Source organism: Homo sapiens, chromosome 1 (genome assembly GCF_000001405.40).
Source record: "Homo sapiens chromosome 1, GRCh38.p14 Primary Assembly".
In the NCBI taxonomy this organism is placed as follows: Eukaryota; Metazoa; Chordata; class Mammalia; order Primates; family Hominidae; genus Homo; species Homo sapiens.
Window position 1 is genome coordinate 8,259,249 of NC_000001.11, and position 22,831 is coordinate 8,282,079.

Here is a 22,831-nt window from a genome sequence, read left to right on the forward strand (position 1 = left end):
CAGAGGACAGGAACTCATTGTACATGGCTTGTTTACCTTATCAGCCAGTTACCTGGGGCAAAGAGTCCACTGTCTGCTTCCTGTCCTAATTTCCCTTGCCCAAGACCTTGGGCAATTGTTTATTTGACAGAGTGTTCTGTCCCATTCCCTTTCTTCTGGGAATAAGGGCACAGGATACTAAACAAATAGATCACCTGGTCTGGGAACACCTGATTTCTGGAGAGGCTGAGACTTCTAGGTGTTTGCTAGAAAGATCCAAATACAGGAAAGAGAAAACAGCTGCTGCGTTCACAAGAAAACGGAGGATGCATTTCTCCCCATGACTTCGGCTTGTTTGGGTTCGCATTTCAAGTGCTCTGACTGGGCTTTATGGAATGTCCTGTCAAGCTTTTGATTGTGAAAATAAAGTTACAGAGACACAGGGGAACAATAATCACAGACGCGATTTGTAGCACAGACACGGCCTTTCATTTCATTCCTCTTTTCTGTGTTTACAAATTGCGACTGTTAGAGAAACGTTGGCCAAGCTGGCTCTTTAACCTGGCCACATATTTATTTTGGCCACTCTTAGCTTTTATTTCGCAAGGTCTCATACTCACCAGCTCAGGTGCTTGTTACATAAGAAAGCTCTGCCGGCGGAGTGCCAAAAATTCAGCTCAGCATTTTCTGCCTCCCTGCAGTGGTCCCAAGGAATGGATACCTCTGCAACCATCTGCAACCTGGACCTTTGCAACAGGAATCTCAGGTTAGGTGACACTGGCCAACATGCAGGGAAACTATGTCAACAAGCTAGTTTTCCTTTCCTTCCTTCCTCCTTCCCTTCTTCCCTCTCTCCCTCTCCTCACCTCCTTTCCTTTCTTTCATTTTTGATACAGTAGGGTGTCTCACTATGTTGCCCAGGCTGGTCTCAAACCACTGGCCTCCAGTGATCCTCCTGCCTCAGCCTCCCGAAGCTCTGAGATTACAGGTGTGAGCCTCCAGGCCTGGCCCCAAACTAGTTTTCAAGGGTTGGTTATCACATCCCTTGTATCTTGGTTCTCACCAGTCAATCATTACGTACTTTGCATGGATTTATTAGAATAGATTTTAAATCTCTTGTTTTAGCCTCTTCTACTTGTAGAGCTACCAATCCTAGAAGTTTACTAGCAACTCTGCATTGTTACATTTTAATTTGCATTTTGTTTTGCATATATTTAATTTGCATTTAGTTTTGCATTTAGTTTGATTGTTCATTTGCGTCTCTCCTTTCTGAACTGCCTGCTGTTCTTTGCTCACTTTTTCTATTTTATTATTATTAAGACTAGTCACGTGTAGTAGTGAGAAGGAGGGAAAGAGTCTATTGGAGTTTTAATATCATGTATACAGTGGATATTAAGAATATCAACACTTCCTTTTTTTTTTTTTTGAAACAGAGTTTTGCTCTTGTTGCCCAAGCTGGAGTGCAACGGCGCGATCTCGGCTCACTGCAACCTCCGTCTCCCAGGTTCAAGCGATTCTCCTGCCTCAGCCTCCCGAGTAGCTGGGATTATAGGTGCCCATCACCATGCCCAGCTAATTTTTTGTATTTTTAGTAGAGACAGGGTTTCACCATGTTGGCCAGACTGGTCTTGAACTCCTGACCTCAAGTGATCCGCCCACCTCGGCCTCCTAAAGTGCTGGGATTACAGGCATGAGCTCCTGACCTCAGGCGATCCGCCCACCTTGGCCTCCCAAAGTGCTGGGATTACAGGCGTGAGCCACTGTGCCCGGCAACACTTTGATCTTTGTTATATAAAATCTCCAAATATCCACTGGGCACCTCTCTAGTCCTAGGGCTGCACACGGGTTCTTTTATTTGTTCTAAATGTAATCCTTCCAAGCTTCATGAGATAATCCTTCCAATTAATTTTCCAAAATTTGGTAAACAAATTCACATTAATATTCAGTGATCCCATGAAGACAAGGTTTTGTTTTGTCTTGTCCATGGTTGAATTTCAGCACCCAGATGTGCGTGGACCAAGTAGGTGTTTGATAAATATTTATTTAATGAACAGAATATCCATACAGGAATTCAGAAATTAGTATTCTCCCCTGAGCCATCTGCTTTCTCTTTTTCTCTCTCTCTCTTTCTTTCCTTCCTTCCTTCCTTCCTTCCTTCCTTCCTTCCTTCCTTCCTTCTTCTTTGTTTTAGGACAGGGTCTTGTTGCTCTGTCATACAGGCTGAAGTGCAGTGGCATGATCTCAGTTCATTGTAGCCTTAACCTCCTGGGCTCAAGCAATCCTCCTACCTTAGCCTCCCGAGTAGCTGGGACCACAGGCACATGCCAGGATGCCAGGGTTTGTTTGTTTTTGTTTTTGTTTTTTGAGAGACAGGGTCTCACTATGTTGCCCAGGTTGGTCTTGAACTTTTAGTCTTGAGAGATCCTCCCTCCTCAGCCTCCCAAAATGTTGGGATTACAGGTGTAAGCCACTGTTCTGGGCTGCCATCCTTTCTTCCTTTTTTTTTTTTGAGACAGAGTCTTGCTCAGTCACCCAGGCTGGAGTGCAGTGACGCGATCTTGGCTCACTGCAAGCTCCGCCTCCCGGGTTCACGCCATTCTCCTGCCTCAGCCTCCCGAGTAGCTGGGACTACAGGTGCCCCCACCACACCCAGCTAATTTTTTTTGTATTTTCCGTAGAGACGGGGTTTCACCATGTTAGCCAGGATGGTCTCCATCTGCTGACCTCATCGTCCACCTGCCTCGGCCTCTTAAAGTGCTGGGATTACAGGCGTGAGCCACCGCGCCTGGCCATCCTCTTTCAAAGCTTAAAAAAAAGAAAATCCTGGCAGGCGTGGTGGCTCACGCCTGTAATCCTAGCACTTTGGGAGGCCAAGGCGGGCAGGTCACGAGGTCAGGAGATCGAGAGCATCCTGGCTAACACGGTGAAACCCCGTTTCTACTGAAAATACAAAAATTAGCCGGGCGTGGTGGCGGGCGCCTGTAGTCCCAGCTACTAGGGAGACTGAGGCAGGAGAATGGCGTGAACCTGGGAGGCGGAGCTTGCAGTGAGTTGAGATTGCGACACTGCACTCCAGCCTGGGCGACGGAGCGAAACTCTGTCTCAAAAAAATAAAAAAATAAAAAAGTAAAGAAAATCCTAACCTTTTATTACACCCCAAAGTCAGCCTTTCATTCCCATGATTATGCTAATGGTTTTTCTCTAAAATAGTTTCCTGATATATAGTAATTTAAAATGTGTGTGGGCCAGGTGCAGTGGCTCATGCCTGTAATCCCAACACTTTGGAAGGCCGAGGCGGGCGGATCTTCTGGAGTCGGGAGTTCAGGATCAGCCTGGACAACATGGTGAAACCTCGTCTTTACTAAAAATATAAAAAACTTTAGCTGTGCGTGGTGGCGGGCACCTGTAATCTCAGGAGGCTGAGGCAGGACAATCACTTGAACCCAGGAGACAGAGGTTGCAGTGAGCTGAGATCGTGCAATTGCACTCCAGCCTGGGCAACAAGAATGAGACTCCATCTCAAAAAATAAACAAATAAATAAAATTAAATGTATGTGGTATATCCTAGGGTGTATACGAAAGTGGGAAAATATTTTTAGCTTTCTTTTTCTCCTTCGCCTTCTTCTTCTTCCTCTTCTTTCTTCTTCATCTTCTTTTTTTTTTTTTTTTTTTTGAGACAGGGTCTGGCTCTGTCACCCAGGCTGGAGTGTAGTGGCACAATCAACCTCTCAGGCTCAAGTGATCCTCCTACCTCAGCTTCCAGAATAGCTGGGACTACAGGTGTGAACCACCACTCCAGGCCCCCAAATCCTCCTTGATGTATTTTGTGGGCTTTTGACCAGTGTCTTCACTAGAATATCTCACTCTAACTGCCAGAAAACGGACATAGTTATCCTATTATAATTTGTGTTACAATGCTAACTTTCTCCACTTTACTAGCTTTCACTTGTCCACTCTGAAATGAGATTGGGGGGCTATGCAAACCCTGAACACGCAGGGAGTATGTGATGTATCATTTCTATGGAATGAACTAAAGAATTCCTGAAAGTTCTCTCTCCTTCAAGGACTCCCCCACCGCCCAACACACACACACACATGCACACACGCACACACACACACACTCCAACTGCACCCAAGTCCCACCTGGGTTCATGCAATATTTACTGTGTGGTGACTCTGTGTCAAGCATTATATGAGGCAACAGCAGCAGAGATTTGTACCTGGGGCTAAAGATTTCTAGGCAGTCTCTTTTTTATTTTTTGTTTGAGACAGAGTCTCGCTCTGTCGCCCAGGCTGGAGTGTAGTGGCACGATCTCAACTCACTGCAACCTCCATCTCCTGGGTTCAAGTTATTCTCCTGCCTCAGCCTCCCAAGTAGATGGGATTACAGGCACCTGCCACCACTCCTGGCTAATTTTTGTATTTTTAGTAGGGACGGGATGTTGCCATGTTGGCCAGGCTGGTCTCCAACTCCTGACCTCAGGTGATCCACCCGCCTCAGCCTCCCACAGTGCTGGGATTACAGGTGTAAGCCACCGCGCCTGGCCGTATTCTCTTTTTAAAAGTAGGTTCAACTGGGATAGCTATCACATAAATCACCAATGCCCTGTGATTGGTGTGAATCAATTTATAAGATTGCTCAAGGTCACCAAGCCTGGAAGGGGTGGTGTCAGGATTCCCACCCAGGCTGTCTGGCGCCATAAATTCCTAAAGTGTTGCCCTGCATGTCCTCATTTTGGGAGGATACATGTTGCCTGCAATCATCCTCCTATTCCCCAAACATGTTTGGAGTCACCTTCTTGGAATTCCATTAGAAACTAAAGGACTCAGAATCTCACACCAGCTCTACCGGTAAGCAGCTGAGATACTTAAATGAATCACTTCACGCCTCTCCCTCCAGTCTTCCCATTTATAAAATGAGGAGATTTGACGCATGTTTCACAAAATTCCTTTCAGCTCCAATAATCTGTGTTTTGGACATCTCCACTTGTTAAGTGGAGTTAAGATTATAACTTGTTAAGTGGAGATGTCCAAAGCACAGATTATTAGAGCTAATTCTTCCATTAGTCTCGAGCATGGATTCTGTGCCCTTCTCTGTAATGTGGGGACACACACACACACACACACACACACACACACATATATATATATATTTTTTAAGGCGGAGTCTCACGCTGTCGCCCAGGCTGGAGTGCAATGGTGCAATCTCGGCTCACTGCAACCACCACCCCCAGGTTCAAGTGATTCTCCTGCCTCAGCCTCCCAAGTAGCTGGGATTACAGGCATGTGCCACCACGCCCAGCTAGTTTTGTATTTTTAGTAGAGATAGGGTTTCTCCACGTTGGTCAGGCTGGTCTTGAACTCCCAACCTCAGGTGATCCATCTGCCTCGGCCTCCCAAAGTGCTGGGATTACAGGCATGAGTCACCACGCCTGGCCCAATGTGGGGATATTTGAATTTGCCCAGGCTATCTTGCTGGGTTGTTGATTACATGAAATAATGGCTTTGAAAACATGGCAAATGATAAAGTGCTAGATGGACATAGGTTAGTTAGTCTTGTTACTTTCTGTCATCCAGTTGTCCAGCTACTGCTACTTTCTATAGCCTGCAATTCACTTTGGTTTTGTTGTTGTTGTTGTTTGTTTTGTTTTTTGTTGTTGTTGTTGTTTTGAGACAGTCTCGCTCTGTCACCCAGGCTGGAGTGCAGCAGCGTGATCTCGATTCACTGCAACCTCCGCCTCCTGGGTTCAAGCGATTCTTGTGCCTCGGCCTCCCGAGTAGCTGGGACCACAGTTGTGTGCCACCACACCCAGCTAATTTTTTTTGTATTTTTAGTAGAGATGGAGTTTCGCCATGTTGGCCAGGCTGGTCTCGAACTCCTGACCTCAGGTGATCTGCCCATCTCAGCCACTTAAAGTGCTGGAATTACAGTCTTGAGCCACTGCACCTGGACGACCTGCAGTTCACTTTGAAGTTCAATTAATAAAAATATATTGGGCTGGGCATGGTGGCTCACACCTGTAATCCCAGCACTTTGGGAGGCTGAGACAGGAGGATTGCTTGAGCCTAGGGGTTCGAGACTAGCTTGGGCAACAAAATAACACCTGGACTCTAAAGGGGAAAAGTGTGTGTGTGTGTGTGTGTGTGTGTATAAATGTATTGAACATCTACTCCATGCCTGTATTTTGCCAGGCTCCAGAGAAGCACATAGATCCAGCGTTCAAGGAGCATACATTCGGGTGAGAGACAGACACAGGGACAGCTGGCTGAATACACACAGAAGCAGCTTAGGGAACCAGCCAGAGGCTGAGCTGAAGCCTAACATCTCACTCTGGGTGGTTCTATCACTTGGAGGAAGGCCTGCACACTCTAAGACCTAAAGGATGCTGGTAGGGCTTGAATTGTGTTCCTCCAAAGATATGTTGAAGTCCCAAACTCCCATACCTGTGAATAGGACGTTATTTGGAAATAGAGTCACTGCAGGCATAAAGATGAGGTCACACGGGTGTAGGGTGGGCCCTCAATCCACTATGTCCTGTGTCCTTAGAAAAAGACGGTGTGTGGCTGGGCGTGGTGGCTCACGCCTGTAATCCCAGCACTTTGGGAGGCCAAGGCGGGTGGATCACGAGGTCAAGAGATCGAGACCGTCCTGGCCAACATGGTGAAACCCCATGTCTATTAAAAAATACAAAAATTACCTGGGCCTGTTGGCGCATGCCTATAGTCCTAGCTACTTTGGAGGCTGAGGCAGGAGAATCACTTGAACCTGGGAGGTGGAGGTTGCAGTGAGCTGAGATTGCAAGTAGCTGGGATTACTGGCGTGCACCACCATGCCCAGCTAATTTTTGTATTTTTAGTAGAGACAGGATTTTACCATGTTGACCAGGCTGGTCTTGAACTTCCCACCTCAGATGATCTGCCCACCCTGGCCTCCCAAAGTGCTGGGATTATAAGCGTGAGCCACCACGCCCAGCCAGAGGTTGTTTTAAGCCACTCAGTGTTGTGCTTTTTGTTGTTGGTTTTTTTTTTTTTTTTTTTTTTGAGATGGAGTTTCACTCTTGTTGCCCAAGCTGGAGTGTAATGGCACGATCTCGGGTCACTGCAACCTCTGCCTCCCAGGTTCAAGCAATTCTCCTGCCTCAGCCTCCTGAGTAGCTGGGATTACAGGGGCACACCACCACACCTGGGTAATTTTTTGTATTTTTAGTAGAAACGTGGTTTCACCATGTTAGCCTGGCTGCTCTCGAACTCCTGACCTCAGGTGATCCACCCACTTCAGCTTCCGAAAGTGCTGGGATTACAGGCATGAGCCACCATGCCCGGCCTTGTGGTTCTTTGTTAGGGCAGCCACAGGAAAAGAATATCAATTAATAGGGGCCAGACACACAAAGAATGGGGATTAACCTGAAAGAATCAAAAGGATCAGAACCCAGTATGAGAAGGTTTATTCAAGCATGAAGCTGAGAATAGCCATTCGGGTAACACAGACTCCAAAGAAATGGGGTCAGTTCTCCAAAGTGAAAAGTTAAGATCTTGCTCACAGAGGCAGAAAACAAAGAAATGTAGTACGATTATAACGTGTTCTATACAAGTCTTGTTTATTAATTACAATTTAATTAGTTACAGTTTGTTCTCTTTTCTGTACAGCTTGTTTCCTTTTCCTTTCCAATTTAAAAGAGTGTCATTAACATTCCATCTTAAACAATGTAATAGTCATGAAGTTTTTGTCTGACAGAGGAAAGAGGAAAGTTAATTTATAATGAAAATCAACAGTTAAGAGGAAGAGTCTTCCCTGGCGCTCTTCAGTCATTTACAACATTTTACAAAACAATGTAGGTAAGGAAGAAGGCTAATCTGTAATCAAAGAAACAAAGGTTACAGATGCCTAGGTTACAGTTGCCTGATTACTGCCCCATAATCACATTCCCTTAAGGCTGAAAATATTTTAAAATTCCAACAGCTTAGTTTTTTTTTTTTTTTTTTTTTTAAGATGGGGGTGGATGGTGGTGTCTCCCCATGTTGCCCAGGCTGGTCTCAAACTCCTGGGCTCAAGTGATCCTTCTGCCTTGGCCTTCCAAAGTGCTGGGATTACAGGTATGAGCCACTGCATCCCACCTATATTTTAAATTACTTATTTTCACAGCAGTGGAAGAGGGTCCCAGGCTGTTCTGGGAAGGCAAAACCTTAGCGAGTTTAAGGAACTGAAAGAAAGTTTATGAGGTCCAGCCCCACTGGAGCTGCGGACCAGATGGCAAGGGCAAGTCATGGAACTTGTCTGGATGCTGGCAATGGTGATGGGAGCCAGGGAGGGTGCTCAGCAGGAGAGTGGCAGGACCTGGTTTGTGAGAGGATGGTTCTGCCGCGGGATGGAGCGGGCATGGAGGGAGCCCAGAAAGCTCATTGTAGGGAGATGGTGCAGTGAGAAGGAGCTAGTGGGAGGTTCTGAAGTGAACTGACTAGGGGTGAATTGGGCATGGTTATGTTGTATATTACTCCATTCTCATGCTGCTAATAGAGAACATACCCGAGACTGGGTAATTTATAAAGGAAAGAGGTTTAGTTGACTTACAGTTCAGCTTGGCTGGGAGGACCTCAGGAAACTTACAATCATGGCAGAAGGGGAAGCAAACACATACTTCTTGACATGGCAGCAGCAAAGAGAAGTGCAGAGTGAAGGGGAGGAAAAGCCCCTTATAAAACCATTAGATCTCATGAGAACTCACTATCATGAGAACAGCATGAGGGTAACCACCCCAGGACTCAATTACCTCCCACTGGGTTCCTCCCATGACAGGTGGGGATTATGGGAACTACAATTCAAGATGAGGTTTGAGTGGGGACACAGCGAAACTATATCATGCTGAAAGCAGAGGAAACAAAGTGTGTTTGAATTATAAAGAGATGTTTTTATGAAGTCAGTTTTCAGGCTAGTGGATAGTGATGCCCTTCATTAAGGAACCAAGGAGGTCTGGACAGGGGTGGGGACAGCATCAGTTTCACTTCGGTTTCCCTTTTTTTTTTTTTTTTTTTTTTGAGATGGCGTTTCACTCTTCTTGCCCAGGCTGGAGTGCAATGGCATGATCTCAGCTCACTGCAACCTCAGCCTCCTGGGTTCAAGCGATTCTCCTGTCTAAGCTTCCTGAGTAGCTAGTATTACAGGCGCCACTATGCCCAGCTAATTTTTTTTTTTTTTTTTGAGATGGAGTTTCGCTCTTGTTGCCCAGGCTGGAGTGTAATGACGTGATCTCGGCTCACTGCAACCTCCGCCTCCCAGGTTCAAGCAATTCTCCTGCCTCAGCCTCCCGAGTAGCTGGGATTACAGGGGCACACTACCACGCCCGGCTAATTTTTTGTATTTTTAGTAGAGATGGGGTTTCTCCATGTTGGTCAGGCTGGCCTCGAACTCCTGACCTCAGGTGATCTGCCCACCTTTGCCTCCCAAAGTGCTGGGATTACAGGGGTGAGCCACTGCGCCCAGCCTTGGGCTTCTCTTTTAATCATCAGTTTTGCCCCAAATGACATGGCTGATCACAAAATTCAGCCCCCTTCATCCTCCTCAAGAGTATCCTGTCCCGAAAAAAGAGTTTCAACTGTGTCATTTCAGTGGCACAATCATTTGATGAATCCTCCTGTCTTGAAGAGGGAAGCCCTCTTTTGAATATGTAAATTCTGGAGAGTTTGTAAAAACAGTCAATCCCAGTTCTTTATGGCAGTAACTTGTAAGCCTAGGTTTAAAAAGATCATGCCAGTGCATGTCATAAAGGTACCTAGCTTTATTATCAAAGGCTGTTGTTTATAAATAAATAAATGTGTTTTCCTATTTCCATTTAATTAGGAACTTTATAAGCTAATCATGAGCTAAGAGTCTCATTATTCCTATAATGTGTAGACAGAAATTCATGACAGCAGTGAATGTGGACATTTTAGCTCATGACTCAATTTTTCTTTTCCTTTTTTTTTTTTTTTTTTTTTTTGAGGCAGGGTCTGGCTCTGTCACCCAGGCTGGAATGCAGTGTCACGATCTCAGCTCACTGCAATGTCTGCCTGTCTGGCTCATGCCATCCTTCCACCTCAGCCCCGGAGTAGCTGGGACTACAGGCGCTCGCCACCACATCTGGCGTGGTTGTAGAGACGGGGGCCTCACCGTGTTGCCCAGGCTGGTCTCAAACTTCTGGGGTCAAGTGATCCACCCACCTCAGCCTCCCAAAGTGCTGGGATTACAGGTGTGAGCCACCATGTCTGGCCTATGACTTGATTTTTCTAAGACTTGTAATGATGTTAATGAGAATAAAAAGAGAGACTAGCTTATGTGGTGGCTGTTTTTACATGAAATGCTCTGTAAGATAAGGCTGGGGAAAAGGATTTAAATAGAGTGTGGAGAAGGGCAATAAAAAGGCAGATGCAGCCGGTTCAAACAGAGAACTTCATTATATTTTAAAACCACATAAACAATCCTGTGTTTCCCTGTCCCCGCTCTCTCACTCTCTTGGGTCATGTCACCACCCCCATGGCTTTACTTATAGTCTACAAAGCCTGGTGACACCCAAGCCTGCATTGTCCATGCTGGTCCCACTCACGAGCCTCAGACTGGGTCCCCCCACTTCCAGTTAGGTCTCCATAGTCAGAGGCTCCTGTGCTGAACGTGCCCCAACAGAACCCTCCTCTTCCCACCCAAGCAGGCTCTTCCCATGTTTCTCTGGAGCATACATGGCACCGCCTCCCACCCACTGCTGGGTTCCCTCCCCGCTCCCTGCCAGGGTAGCATCAGGCTCTGGTTGTTCTGTTCCCAATCATATCACATGTGCCCCCATGGCCATCCCCACCACCATTGCCCAGGCCACCATCTCTTGTCACCCGGGTCATTGTTAAATCTCCAAGTGACCTCCTGTCTGCTGTCCTCCTATCCATTGTCCACACTGCAGCCAGGATAATCTTTCAAGAATGCAAAACTGCTCATGCCACATTCCTTAAAAGAAAGAAAACAACCCTTTGATATTTTCCCATTTGTTACTCCAAAGCTGAAGTCCAATTTTCTTTTTTTTCTTTTTTCTTTTTTTTTTTTTTTTGAGACAGAATATCTCTCTTGTTGCCCAGGCTGGAGTGCAGTGGCATGATCTTGGCTCACTGCAACCTCTGCCTCCTGTGTTCAAGTGATTCTCCTGCCTCAGCCTCCCGAGTAGCTGGGATTACAGGTGCCCACCACCATGCCCAGCTAATTTTTGTATTTTTAGTAGAGATGGGGTTTCACCATGTTGGCCAAGCTGGTCTGGAACTACTGACCTCAGGTGATCCACCCGCCTTGGCCTTCCAAAGTGTGGGGATTACAGGTGTGAGCCACCGCGCCCGGCCTGAAGTCCAATTTTCTTAATGTGACATTCCCATCTGATTCTTCCTCATCGCTGGGGGTGGGGTCGAGAAGGGGGTGACTTCTTCCTTCACTCTTCCCTGACCTTTGGGGTTGAGTTGAGTGCCCACCCTGGCCCAGGGCATTCTATTCCTCTGGACAGGCACACATTTGACCCTGCATGGAGAGCACCTGTTTACAGTGTGTCTTACCCACACCTACGGGTGCACCGAGGCATTCATTTCCCCATGTCTTTTAAACCAAACTTGACCCCACGCCTCCATCCTGCCAGGTGTGGAGGACGTTAATGTGGCTCATTTTGGGTGCGCTCTTCCCATCCCGGGCCAGTGCTCTAGCCAGAGTGAATTGGGGGAAGCCCCAGTGTCTGAGGGTCACGCTGGGTAATGCCAGGCACCCTTCTCATGCCCACATTGCTCTGGCCATATCCTAGAATCTTGGCCCAGATGGGAATGCTGATGCCCAAGGTGCTCCCAGGGGTGGGACACAAGTTTGCTTTCCATCTGGAAGCTCCCATTCACCTGTCTGGGGGACTCCACAGTGAGGGACAGTCAGCTCTATCTTCCCAAAGAGGTGAGACTTTTCCAGAATACAGGGAGAGGGCTGGCTTCCAGATAACTTCCAGATAACACACATCTCCCCGGACGAGGACTCTTGGAATGGGAGAGGGGAAGATACAGTGAAGCAAACACAGATGGGTTTCCCAGCAAGTTCTCTGGGCTTCCTTCCCTTCACTCAGCCGTAAGCTGAGGACACAGCACAGTGGCCCACTCTAACTGGCCTCACACAGAGCCGGGTAATCAGAGAAAGACCAGCGACGAGGCACCAAACCAGGAACATATGATGTGCAAAAGCCAGGGTCCTAAGATGCCAAGAGTAGACCCCGATGTGGTGGATCCGGAGCACTCAGCCCCTGGAGGTGGGGCTCATTGTGAATCACAGCAGCCACTTGGAGAGCAAGGCAGAAATAGAAAGTTGAAAGCTCCTATTCCTGGCCGGGCATGGTAGCTCATGGCTGAAATCCCAGCACTTTGGGAGGCCAAGGCGGGTGGATCCCCTGAGCCCAGGAGTTCAAGACCAGCCTGGGTAATATGGTAAGAATCTGTCTCTACAGAAAATACAAAAATTAGCTAGGTGTGGTGACGCATGCCTGTGGTCCCAGCTACTTGGGAGGCTGAGGTGGGAGGATCGCTTGAGCCTGGGAGGTTGAGGCTGCAGTGAGCTGAGATCTTGCTACTGCACTGGGTGACAGAGTGAGAACCTGTTTTTGTTTGTTTGTTTGTTTTAAAGAGCCTTTTCCTGTCACCTCTACAATCCCTCTTTTTTTTTTCTTTTGAGACAGAGTCTCACTTTGTCACCCAAGCTGGAGTACAGTGGCATGATCTTGGCTCACTGCAACCTCCACCTCCTAGGTTCAAGTGATTCTCCTGCCTCAGCCTCCCGAGTAGCCGGGACTACAGGTGCCCACCACCACGCCCGACTAATTTTTGTAATTTGAGTAGAGATGGGGTTTCACCATGTTGGCCAGGCTGGTCTCGAACTCCTGAGCTCAGGTGATCCACCCGCCTCGGCCTCCCAAAGCGCTCAGATTACTCTGCAATTCCTCTTATCATGTCACTCCACAAGTTCAGCTACCCAGAAGCTCTCTGAACCCAGTCCTCTTGGGTTTCCATGGAAGCCTCGGGAGGTCAGCATTATTCCCCAAAGGAATGGGGCAGGACCCTGTTAGGATGAGGGTCTTATGAGCCCCATTCAGAAAGGTGAGATGTGCGGGCAGATTAGAGGGAAAACGAGGGCAGGAGATGGTCTGAGAGATTCTGTTTCCCGAGGCCACCTCCTGAGGCCTGATGCCCCCAACATTATAAATAACAAACACTGTAACCAGGGCTATGGGAGTTACGATTTAGGAACTGTGCCCCAAAACGTGTGTGTGTGTGTGTGTGTGTGTGTGTGTGTATGTATACATATAAAAACTTATATATACATATGTAAGTCAGGGTCCAACAATGCCATATATATTATATATGTTATATATACATATATGTATATATGTATAAACATATAAGCTTATATGTACACATATAAACATATATAACATACACATGTAAAATATAAAAATATAAAACACATGTACAAAACATGTTTTATATACATAACACCACAATAGTATTATTTCTCCAAATTCCCCACTAATTTTTTTTTTTTTTTTTTTTTGAGACAGACTCTCACTTTGTTGCCCAGGCTGGAGTGCAGTGGCCCAATCTCAGCTCAAGCAATTCTCCAGCCTCAGTCTCCCAAGTTGCTGGGACTACAGGTGTGCGCCACCACACCCGGCTAATTTTTGTACTTTTAGTAGAGACAGGGTTTCACTATGTTGTCCAGGGTGTCTCGAACTTCTGACCTCAGGTGATCCACCAGCCTCGGCCTCCCAAAGTGCTGTGATTACAGGAATGAGCCACTGTGCCTGGCCTTCCCCACTAATTTCTATCAATTTACCCCACCCTAAAGAGTATTTCTGTTACACGTTCCAAGGATGGTTTTGGGGATTCGTTGCTATGAGCAGACTTTGCCAGCAACTTCCTGAATCTACCAGTTGCTTTTCTTTTTTACAAAGAATATTCTCAAATTGCGCCCAACTAATCAGAGAAAAGAACATTGGCCTTCTTTTCTATCCTTCCTGGCCTTCCTTAACTTTTTCCCCAACCTGAGAAACAAGCCAAAAATGGGAAGAATTATAGCATGCTGCCCTCCAAGTGGGGAGGGTCTACGTGCCAGAATTTCTAGTTAGAAGGGAGAGATTTTCCACTTTATTCTTTAAAAAGAGGTGGCATGTCCCTCTTTTAACAAATATTATCTGCTGCTAGCTACTGCCTAACATTTACATCTGTTGGATACTCTTTGATATTTTTTTCCAGAAACTTTATCTGCTGTCTCAGAAATAAACAATCTTAGAAGCCAGAGTTCCTCAGACTCCTTAAGGAGCTTGTATCCTACCTGTGGAAATTTAAAAAGAAAAAGATTTAAGTAGGAAACTTAACAGATTTATTGGTTTTTATTACAATCTCTAAAAAAACTAGTCATCTTCATGACCAGCCTGGGCAACATGGTGAAACCCCATCTCTTCGAAATATACAAAAATTAGCTGGGTGTGGTGGTGCACACCTGTGGTCCCAGCTAGTTGGGAGGCTGAGGTAGAAGGATTGCCTGAGCTCGGGAGGCTGAGTCCTCAGTGAGCTAAGATCACGCCACTGCACTCTGGCCTGGGTGACAGAGCAAGACTTGGTCTCAAAAAAAAAAAAAAAAAAAAAGGTAGTCACTAGTCATGTGAAAACTACCATCTTAAAACTCTTCCTTCCCAGGACAACCTTTTTATAAAATCAGGAACCAAAGGTGACAGTTGTCACTTGCCCCAGGCAATGACAGCTGAGGACACTGTCCCTGAATTTGGGTTTCTCTTGGGAAAGGGACATCGGCTGACAGCTTTGTGATGTTGGGAGTACAATCATTTTCAAAACAGCCGGTATTTGAAATTGTGTTTCCCGTTCTCCTTTGAGCAAATTTTGTGTTTGTTTTCTATGGTATAAACAGTCTCATTGTGAAGACTGAAAGTATTCATCATGTGATCATAAACACTTGATTATTTCAAGAAGGGGGGATATTAACAAATCCAGAGCTTAAACATTAGAAATTGGGAACTGCAGGTGCCTGAACTGTAGGAATAGCTTCATGGGAGTTCATGTTTCCAAATTTCTAACCTCAAAGCCCAGACAAATACTCAATGCAGCACAAACGCTTCTCTTCTCAGGCTATTCCCCTCTGCATTCTGATTAAAGAAGTGTTCTGGAGAACAAGCCAGATGGGAATAAATCTGGTTTTTCGCTTTTCTCTAATTGAATATTGCTTCTGTTTGGAGTCAGTGCCTTTCCCTGCCTTCCCAGCGCCTCACAGGAAGGGGGTGCACAGAACAGAGCTTTGTGAGTGAGACTCCAGTGCACCATGGCGACATCGTGCCATAAAAGTGTCTTCTCTCATTTTCAAGGTAAACTAATGTTATTGCCACCAGGAAATAGACCACATGAAAACAAACGCCAGGGACCTGGAAGAGTTGCCCAGGCAGTCGTTCTTGTCGGTTCCCAAGCTCATTACCCTCCTTAACTAAAGTCAATGGGACGAAACACCAGGCTTCTCCAAAGGCCCCTGAACATGAAGCCTACATATTTAAAATCTGTGACTGTAAAATAACTACACTGAGTCTTCTTCTTGTTCACAATGAATTGTCCATTTTCTCTCTTCTGATAAGTAATGCCTGGTTATCCAGTCCTTATATCCTGTGTCACAAAATGCTGCTGATCAAGGCTGGGCACGGTGGCTCACACCTGTAATCCCAGCGCTTTGGGAGGCTGAGCTGGGCAGATTTCTTGAGTCCAGGAGTTTGAGACCAGCCTGGGCAACATGGTGAAAGCCCCTCTCTACAGAAAATACAAAAATTAGCTGGGCATGGTGCATACCTGTAGTCTCAGCTACTTGGGAAGCTGAGGTGGGTGGATTACTTGAGCCTGGGAGGTGGAGGCTGCAGTGTGCCAAGATCCTGCCGTTGCACTTCAGCCTGGGAGACAGAGTGAGACCCTGTCTTCTTTTTTTTTGAGACAGAGTCTCTCTCTGTCACCCAGGCTGGAGTGCAGTGGCGCGATCTCGGCTCACTGCAAGCTCTGCCTCCCGGGTTCAAGCAATTCTCCTGCCTCAGCCTCCCAGGTAGCTGGGACTACAGGCGCCCGCCACCACGCCCGGCTAATTTTTTGTATTTTTAGTAGAGACAAGGTTTCACCGAGTTAGCCAGGATGGTCTCGATCTCCTGATCTCGTGATCCGCCCGCCTCAGCCTCCCAAAGTGCTGGGATTACAGGTGTGAGCCACCGCGCCAAGCCCCAAGACCCTGTCTTAAAAAAAAAAAAGGTGCTGATCTTGAACTCACTGATGATTTGTGGTGTGGGGGGTGAACAGCAGTAACCAAAAATTTCCCCGCCTAAAGTATCAGGTGTCACAGATAGCTTGGTGAGAAACGTGAGTGTCTGATGGTGGAAGATTTACTCCCATGAGGATTCAGGGGTCTTCATGTTTGTGAAATTTCTTTTCTTTCTTTTTTTTTTTTTTTTTTTTTTTTTGAGACAGAGTCTCACTCTCTTGCCCAGGCTGCAGGGCAGTGGCGCGATCACGGCTCACTGCAACCTCCACCTCCTAGGTTCAAGCGATTCTCTTGCCTCAGCCTCCTGAGTAGCTGGGATTACAGGCACGTGCCGCCATGCCCGGCTAATTTTTGTATTTTTAGTAGAGACGGGGTTTCACCATGTTGGCCAGGCTGCTCTTGAACTGCTGACCTCGTGATCCGCCCGCCTCGGCCTCCCGGAGTGCTGGGATTACAGGCATGAGCCACCGTGCCCGGCCTCATGTCTGTGAAATTTCTGGGGGTCTGGTGGTCTGGGGCATGCCAGGGTGCCCCCTCTGAAGTGAAGAGCCAACCACTGTACTTTTGGCCCCTGCCATCTGTAAGAAAGAATCCCGTGTTTGGGAGGTCGCTGGATTTTAGAGGCCACAGATGCCACATCTGGATGACACTTTCTGGCCAATTTACTGGGTAACCCCAAAAGCCACTAGCTTGGAGAGGGCCAACAGCCAGAGAAGGCGCTTCAGCTCAGCCAGGCTGCGATGCGGTGGCTCTGTCCTCAGCCTGTAAGGTCAAGCCTCACGCCATCGGCAGTCACTGGTCTCACCACGTGCACCAGCCCCCAGAGGCACTGGCGTTCGAGGATGCTGTGATGGTTAATTTTATGTGTCCATTTGGTCGAACGTGACTCTGGGTGTGTCTGTGCGGCTGTTTTAGATGAGACGAACACTAGAATTCGTAGGCTGTCTGCAACGTGGGAGCCCCCCGGAGCTTCCCCCTTGCACAGTTTCAGGCCTTCCTCATGGGGTGGGCCTCGGCCAATCAGTTGAACTCCTCCTGCCTGACTGTCTTGAGCTGAGACTTCAGTCTTTTTCCTTCCTGCAGACTCAAACAGAAACATCAGCTCTTCCTGGGTCTCGAGCCTGCCGGCTTTCACACTGCAGCTGCACCACCCGCCCTCCTGGTTCTCAGGCCTTCAGACACCGGCTGCAGCCACACCACCGGCCCTCCTGGGCCTCCAGCTTGCTGCCTGCAGACCTTGGGAGTTGTCAGCTCCATAATCATGGGAGCCAATTTCTCATTCAAAGAAATACACATACACACACCACACACACACAAACACACACACACCACACACAAACACATACACCACACACATACACCACACACATACACCCCCCACACACATACACCACACACACACCACACACACATACACACCACACACACACCACACAAACACAAACACACATAAACATACATACACATGTACACACATACACACACATGCACACCAACACATATACACATACACACACACCACGCCATACACACACCACACACACATACACACACCACACATACACACACACCACACACGTACACACACATATACACACACATGCACACCAACACATACACACATACACACACATGCACACCAACACATACACACATACACACGTGCAAACACACCACATGAACACATGCAGGTGCACACACACACACACATCTGTTTCTTTTTCTTTTAACGTTTTTTGAGACAAGGTCTCTGTTATTCAGGCTGGAGTGCAGTGGTGCAATCTTGGCTCACTGCAGCCTCGACCTCCTAGACTCAGGTGACCCTCCCACCTCAGCCTCCTGAGTAGCTGGGACCACAGGCATGTTCGAGACCAGCCCAGCCAACATGGTGAAACCCCATCTCTACTAAAAATACAAAAATTTTCCAGGCGTGGTGGTAGGCGCCTGTAATCCCAACTACTTGGGAGGCTGAGGCCGATGCATGAGAATCGCTTGAACCCAGGAGGCGGAGGTTGCTGTGAGCCGGGATCACACCACTGCACTCCAGCCTGGGCTCAAGCGATTCTCCTGCCTCGGCTCAAGCGATTCTCCTGCCTCAGCCTCCCAAGTAGCTGGGGACCACAGACATGTGCCACCGTGCCTGGGTAATTTTAATTTTTATTTTTTTTGTAGAGAGAGGGTCTTGCTATGGTGTGCAGTCTGGTCTCAAACTCCTCGGATCAAGTGATCCTCCCCTCTCAGTCTCCCAAAGTGCTGGGATTACAGGCGTGAGCTACCTTACCCAGCTCAATGCCCCCACTCCTTTTTTTTTTTTTTTTTTTTTTTTTTTGAGAAAAGGTCTCACTCTGTCAGCTAGGCTGGAATGTACGGCTCACTGCAACCTCTGCCTCCTGGACTCAAGTGATTCTCCCACCTCAGCCTCCTGAGTACCTGGAACCACAGGTGGACATTAACCTTGCCTGGCTAATTTTTTTCTTTTTCTTGCTTTTTCTGGAGATAGGGTTTTGCCATGTTGCCCAGGCTGCTTTCAAATTCATGGGCTCAAGCCATCTTCCCCCGTCAGTCCTCCAAAGTGCTGGGATTACAGGCGTGAGCCACCGTGCCTGGCCAAATTTACCTTTTAATCCATGGTTTGCCTCATATTGAGATGGGATTGTAATAGAACTAGAGGAAGGACAGGCTTTCCTCCAGACCCAGAACTGGAGACTGGATGCATTGGAGGCTTATAAAGTTTTTAAGGCAGGGGACAGTGGCTCCTGTAGTCCCAGCTACTTGGGGGCTGAGGCAGGAGGATCGCTTACACTCAGGAGTTCAAGGCTGCAATGAGTATGATCGCGCCATTGCACTCCAGCCTGGGTGACAAAGCGAGACCCTATCTCTTTTAAAACAGCAAAAAAGGAGGTCTATAAGGAAGCCTGTTTCCATTTGCATCTATAGTAGCTGCGTTCTGCTTGGGGCAGTTCTGAAATTATTTGTGTATGAAGCAGAACGCATGGTTGCTGGGCAGGCAGGGCCCAGATTGGAATGATGTTCTGTTTTGTTTTTTTTCTGAGCTGGAGGCTTGCTCTGTTGCCCAGGCTGGAGTGCAGTGGCGCAATCTCGGCTCACTGCAACCTCCGCCTCCTGGGTTCAAGCAATTCTACTGCCTCAGCCTCCCAAGTAGCTGAGATTACAAGAGCCCACCACCACACCCGCCTAATTTTTGTATTTTTAGTAGAGATGGGATTTCACCATGTTGGCCAGGCTGGTCTTGAACTCCTGACCTCAGGTGATCCGCCTCCCTCAGCCTCCCAAAGTGCTGGCATTACAGGCATGAGTCACCGGGCCCGGCCAGAATGATGTTCTTTCTGCTTACCTAGTGTTCATCCTTCTGTCTTCTGATGTAGCGCACCAATATTGGTCTGGAAATCCACTCCTTCACCCATGGGACACAGTCGTGATACAGCTGACCGTTAAAATGTCCCTCCTTGCCTGCCAAGAACTGGGTACATGACACACGTTCCATCTATCACATGCTCCCTCCCTAAAACTGGGATCCTTAGCAGAATCACACATCACTTCATCTTTCTGAGATGGAGTCTCACTCTGTCACCCAGGCTGGAGTGCAGTGGTGCGATCTTGGCTCACTGCAAGCTCCGCCTCCTGGGTTCACGCCATTCCCCTGCCTCAGCTTCCTGAGTAGCTGGGACTACAGGTGCCTGCCACCACGCCCAGCTAAGTTTTTGTATTTTTAGTAGAGACAGTGTTTCACCGTGTTGGCCAGGATGGTCTCAATCTCCTGACCTCATGATCTGCCTGCCTCAGCCTCCCAAAGTGCTGGGATTACAGGCATGAGCCACTGAGCCTGGCCCTTTTTTTTTCTTTTACCACACACCCTTATCATTTTTTTTTTTTTGGCAGTGAGAACACTTAAAATCTACTCTCTTGGCCGGGCGCAGTGGCTCACGCTTGTAATCCTAGCATTTTGGGAGGTCAAGGTGGGAGGACAACCTGAGATCAGGAGTTCAAGACCAGCCTGGCCAACATGGTGAAACTCCGTCTCTACTAAAAATACAAAAATTAGCTGGGCCTGGTGGCACATGCCTGTAATCCCAGCTACTCAGGAGGCTGAGGAAGGAGAATCACTTGAACCTGGGAGGTGGAGGCTGTAGTGAGCTGAGATCACACCACTGTACTCCAGCCTGCACGATGGGAGTGAAATTCCATCTCAAAAAATAAAATAAAATAAAATAAAAATCTATTCTCTTAGCAATTTTTTTTTGAGATGGAGTCTTGTTCTGTCGCCCAGGCTGGAGTGCAGTGGTGCAATCCCTTTATTTATGTATTTATTTATTTATTTGAGACAAGGACTCGCTGTGTTGCCCAGTCTGGAGTGCAGTGACGCGATCTTGGCTCACTGCAACCTCCGCCTCCCGGGCTCAAGCAATTCTCCTGCCTCAGCCTCCCAAGTAGCTGGGATTACAGGCATGCGCCACCACACCCGGCTAACTTTTTTTGTATTTTTAGTAGAGACGGGGTTTTGCTATGTTAGCTAGGCTTGTCTCGAACTTCTGACTTCAAATGATCTGCCTGCCTCGGCCTCTCAAAGTGCTGCGATTACAGGCATGAGCCACCTCACCTGGCCTATTAGCAATTTTTAAGAATACAATATATTATTGGCTGGGCATGGTGGCTCATGGTAATCCCAGCACTTCGGGAGTTTGAGGTGGGCAGATCATTTGCGGCCAGGAGTTTGAGACCAGCCTGACCAACATCATGAAACCCCGTCTCTACTAAAAATACAAAAATTAGGTTGAGCACGGTGGCTCACGCCTGCAATCCCAGCACTTTGGGAGGACTGGTGCATGGATCACGAGGTCAGGAGTTCAAGACCAGCCTGGCCAAGATGGTGAAACCCCATCTCTACTAAAGAAAAAAAATACAAAAATTAGCCAGGCGTGGTGGCAGGTGTCTGTAATCCCAGCTACTCGAGAGGCTGGGGCAGAGAATTGCTTGAACCCAGGAGGTGGGGGTTGCAGTGAGCTGAGATCACACCACTGCACTCCAGCCTGGGTGACAGAGTGAGACTCTGTCTCAATTTAAAAAAAAAAAAAAAAAGATAGCTAGTGGTGGTGGTACATGCCTATAGTCCTAGCTACTTGGTAGACAGAGTGAGATTTTGTCTCAAAAAAAAAAAATGTTATTAACTACAGTCACCTTGTTGTATAGTAGATCTCCTGAACTTATTTATCTTAACTGAAATTTTGTATTCTTCTTTAAAAATTGTCTTGTCTTTTCCATTTTATTTATTTCTTTATTTTAAGACAGCATCTCACTATGTTGCACAGGCTGGTCTGGAACTCCTAGGCTTCAAGCCATCGTTCCATCTTAACCTCTCTAGTAGCTGGGACTACAGGCAAGCACCACTCTACCTGGAATGAAATTTTGTATCCTTGGGACCAACTTTTCCCCAACCATCCCGGCAGCTCCTGGTAACTACCATTCTACTCTCTGCTTCTATGAGTCCAACTATTTTAGATTCCACATATGAGTGAGATCACGCATTCTTTATCTATCTGTGCCTGGCTTATTTGACTTAACATAGTGTCCTCCAGGTTCATCCATGTTGTAAATGACAGGATTCTCTTCTTTTTTAGGGCTGAATAGTATTCCATATATAAATGCCACATTTTCTTTACCCATTCATCTACTGATGGGCATTGAGGTGGGCTCCATATCTTGGTTATTGTGAATAGTGCTGCAATGGACGTGGGAATACAAATGTCTCTTCAGCAGACTGATTTGATTTCCTTTCCTTCAGATATACACCCAGTAGCGGAATTAGAGCATGACATGGTTTGGCTGTGTCCCCACCCAAATCTCATCTTGAATTGTAGTTCCCATAATCCCCACGTGTCATGGGAGGGACCCAGTGGGAGTAATTGAATCATGGGGGCGGTTACCTCCATGCCATTCTTGTGATAGTGAGTTCTCACGAGATATGATGGTTTCACAAGGGGCTTTTCCCCTTTGCTCATCTCTCATTCTCCCTCCTTCCACCTTGTAAAGAGGTGCCTTCCACCATGATTGTAAGTTTCCTGAGGACTCCCCAGCCATGTGGAACTGTGAGTCAATTAAACTTCTTTTCTTTGTAAATTACCCAGTCTCAGGTGGGTGGGTAATTTCTTTATAAATTACCCAGTGTGAGAATGGACTAATGCAGAGCATGTGGTAGTTCCATTTTTATTTTTTTGACGAACCTCCACACTATTTTCCATAATGGCTATACTAATTTACATTCCCATCAGAAAATATCTTATTAACGTATTTGTTGGGCTGCTTTCACATAGATCAGATGACGGTGACTTAGACAAGACAGAAGGTTTATTTTTCCTGCACATAAAAGCCCAAGCAGACATTAGGTGGGGCTGTGGGGTGAGTGGCTCTGTTGTGTGAGGTCAGCCTGCAGCCCGCCTCCTCCACGTGGCTCTGCTGCGCCCAGGGTGCTGTCTTCCTCTGCATGGTCAAAGGCAGTGCACTTGCTCATGT

At 47.2% G+C, this 22,831-nt stretch overlaps 1 long non-coding RNA gene across 1 annotated transcript in view, besides 3 other annotated features; it reads left to right on the top strand.

The window, feature by feature from the left end:
* The first annotated feature begins 122 nt into the window (after positions 1–122).
* LINC03154 (long intergenic non-protein coding RNA 3154) overlaps positions 123–22,831 on the top strand; it is a 37,079-nt gene continuing 14,370 nt past the window's right edge. Inside the window, exon 1 of the long non-coding RNA XR_007065454.1 lies at positions 123–745. This is a non-coding gene — a long non-coding RNA (long intergenic non-protein coding RNA 3154). The remainder of the gene's footprint in view (positions 746–22,831) is intronic.
* Positions 441–735: a silencer, noted in NCBI's record as "tiled region #9077; HepG2 Repressive DNase unmatched - State 1:Tss". NCBI's record gives its function as "represses a minimal TATA promoter and a strong SV40 promoter by Sharpr-MPRA in HepG2 cells {active_cell/tissue: HepG2}" and the evidence as "EXISTENCE:reporter gene assay evidence [ECO:0000049][PMID:27701403]".
* Positions 7,278–8,048: an enhancer, noted in NCBI's record as "OCT4-NANOG-H3K27ac-H3K4me1 hESC enhancer chr1:8326586-8327356 (GRCh37/hg19 assembly coordinates)". NCBI's record gives its function as "activates a minimal SCP1, AML or CMV promoter by ChIP-STARR-seq in naive and primed H9 embryonic stem cells {active_cell/tissue: H9 hESC(naive and primed)}" and the evidence as "EXISTENCE:reporter gene assay evidence [ECO:0000049][PMID:30033119]".
* Positions 17,189–17,248: an enhancer, noted in NCBI's record as "active region_101". NCBI's record gives its function as "activates an Ori minimal core promoter by ATAC-STARR-seq in GM12878 lymphoblastoid cells {active_cell/tissue: GM12878}" and the evidence as "EXISTENCE:reporter gene assay evidence [ECO:0000049][PMID:35858748]".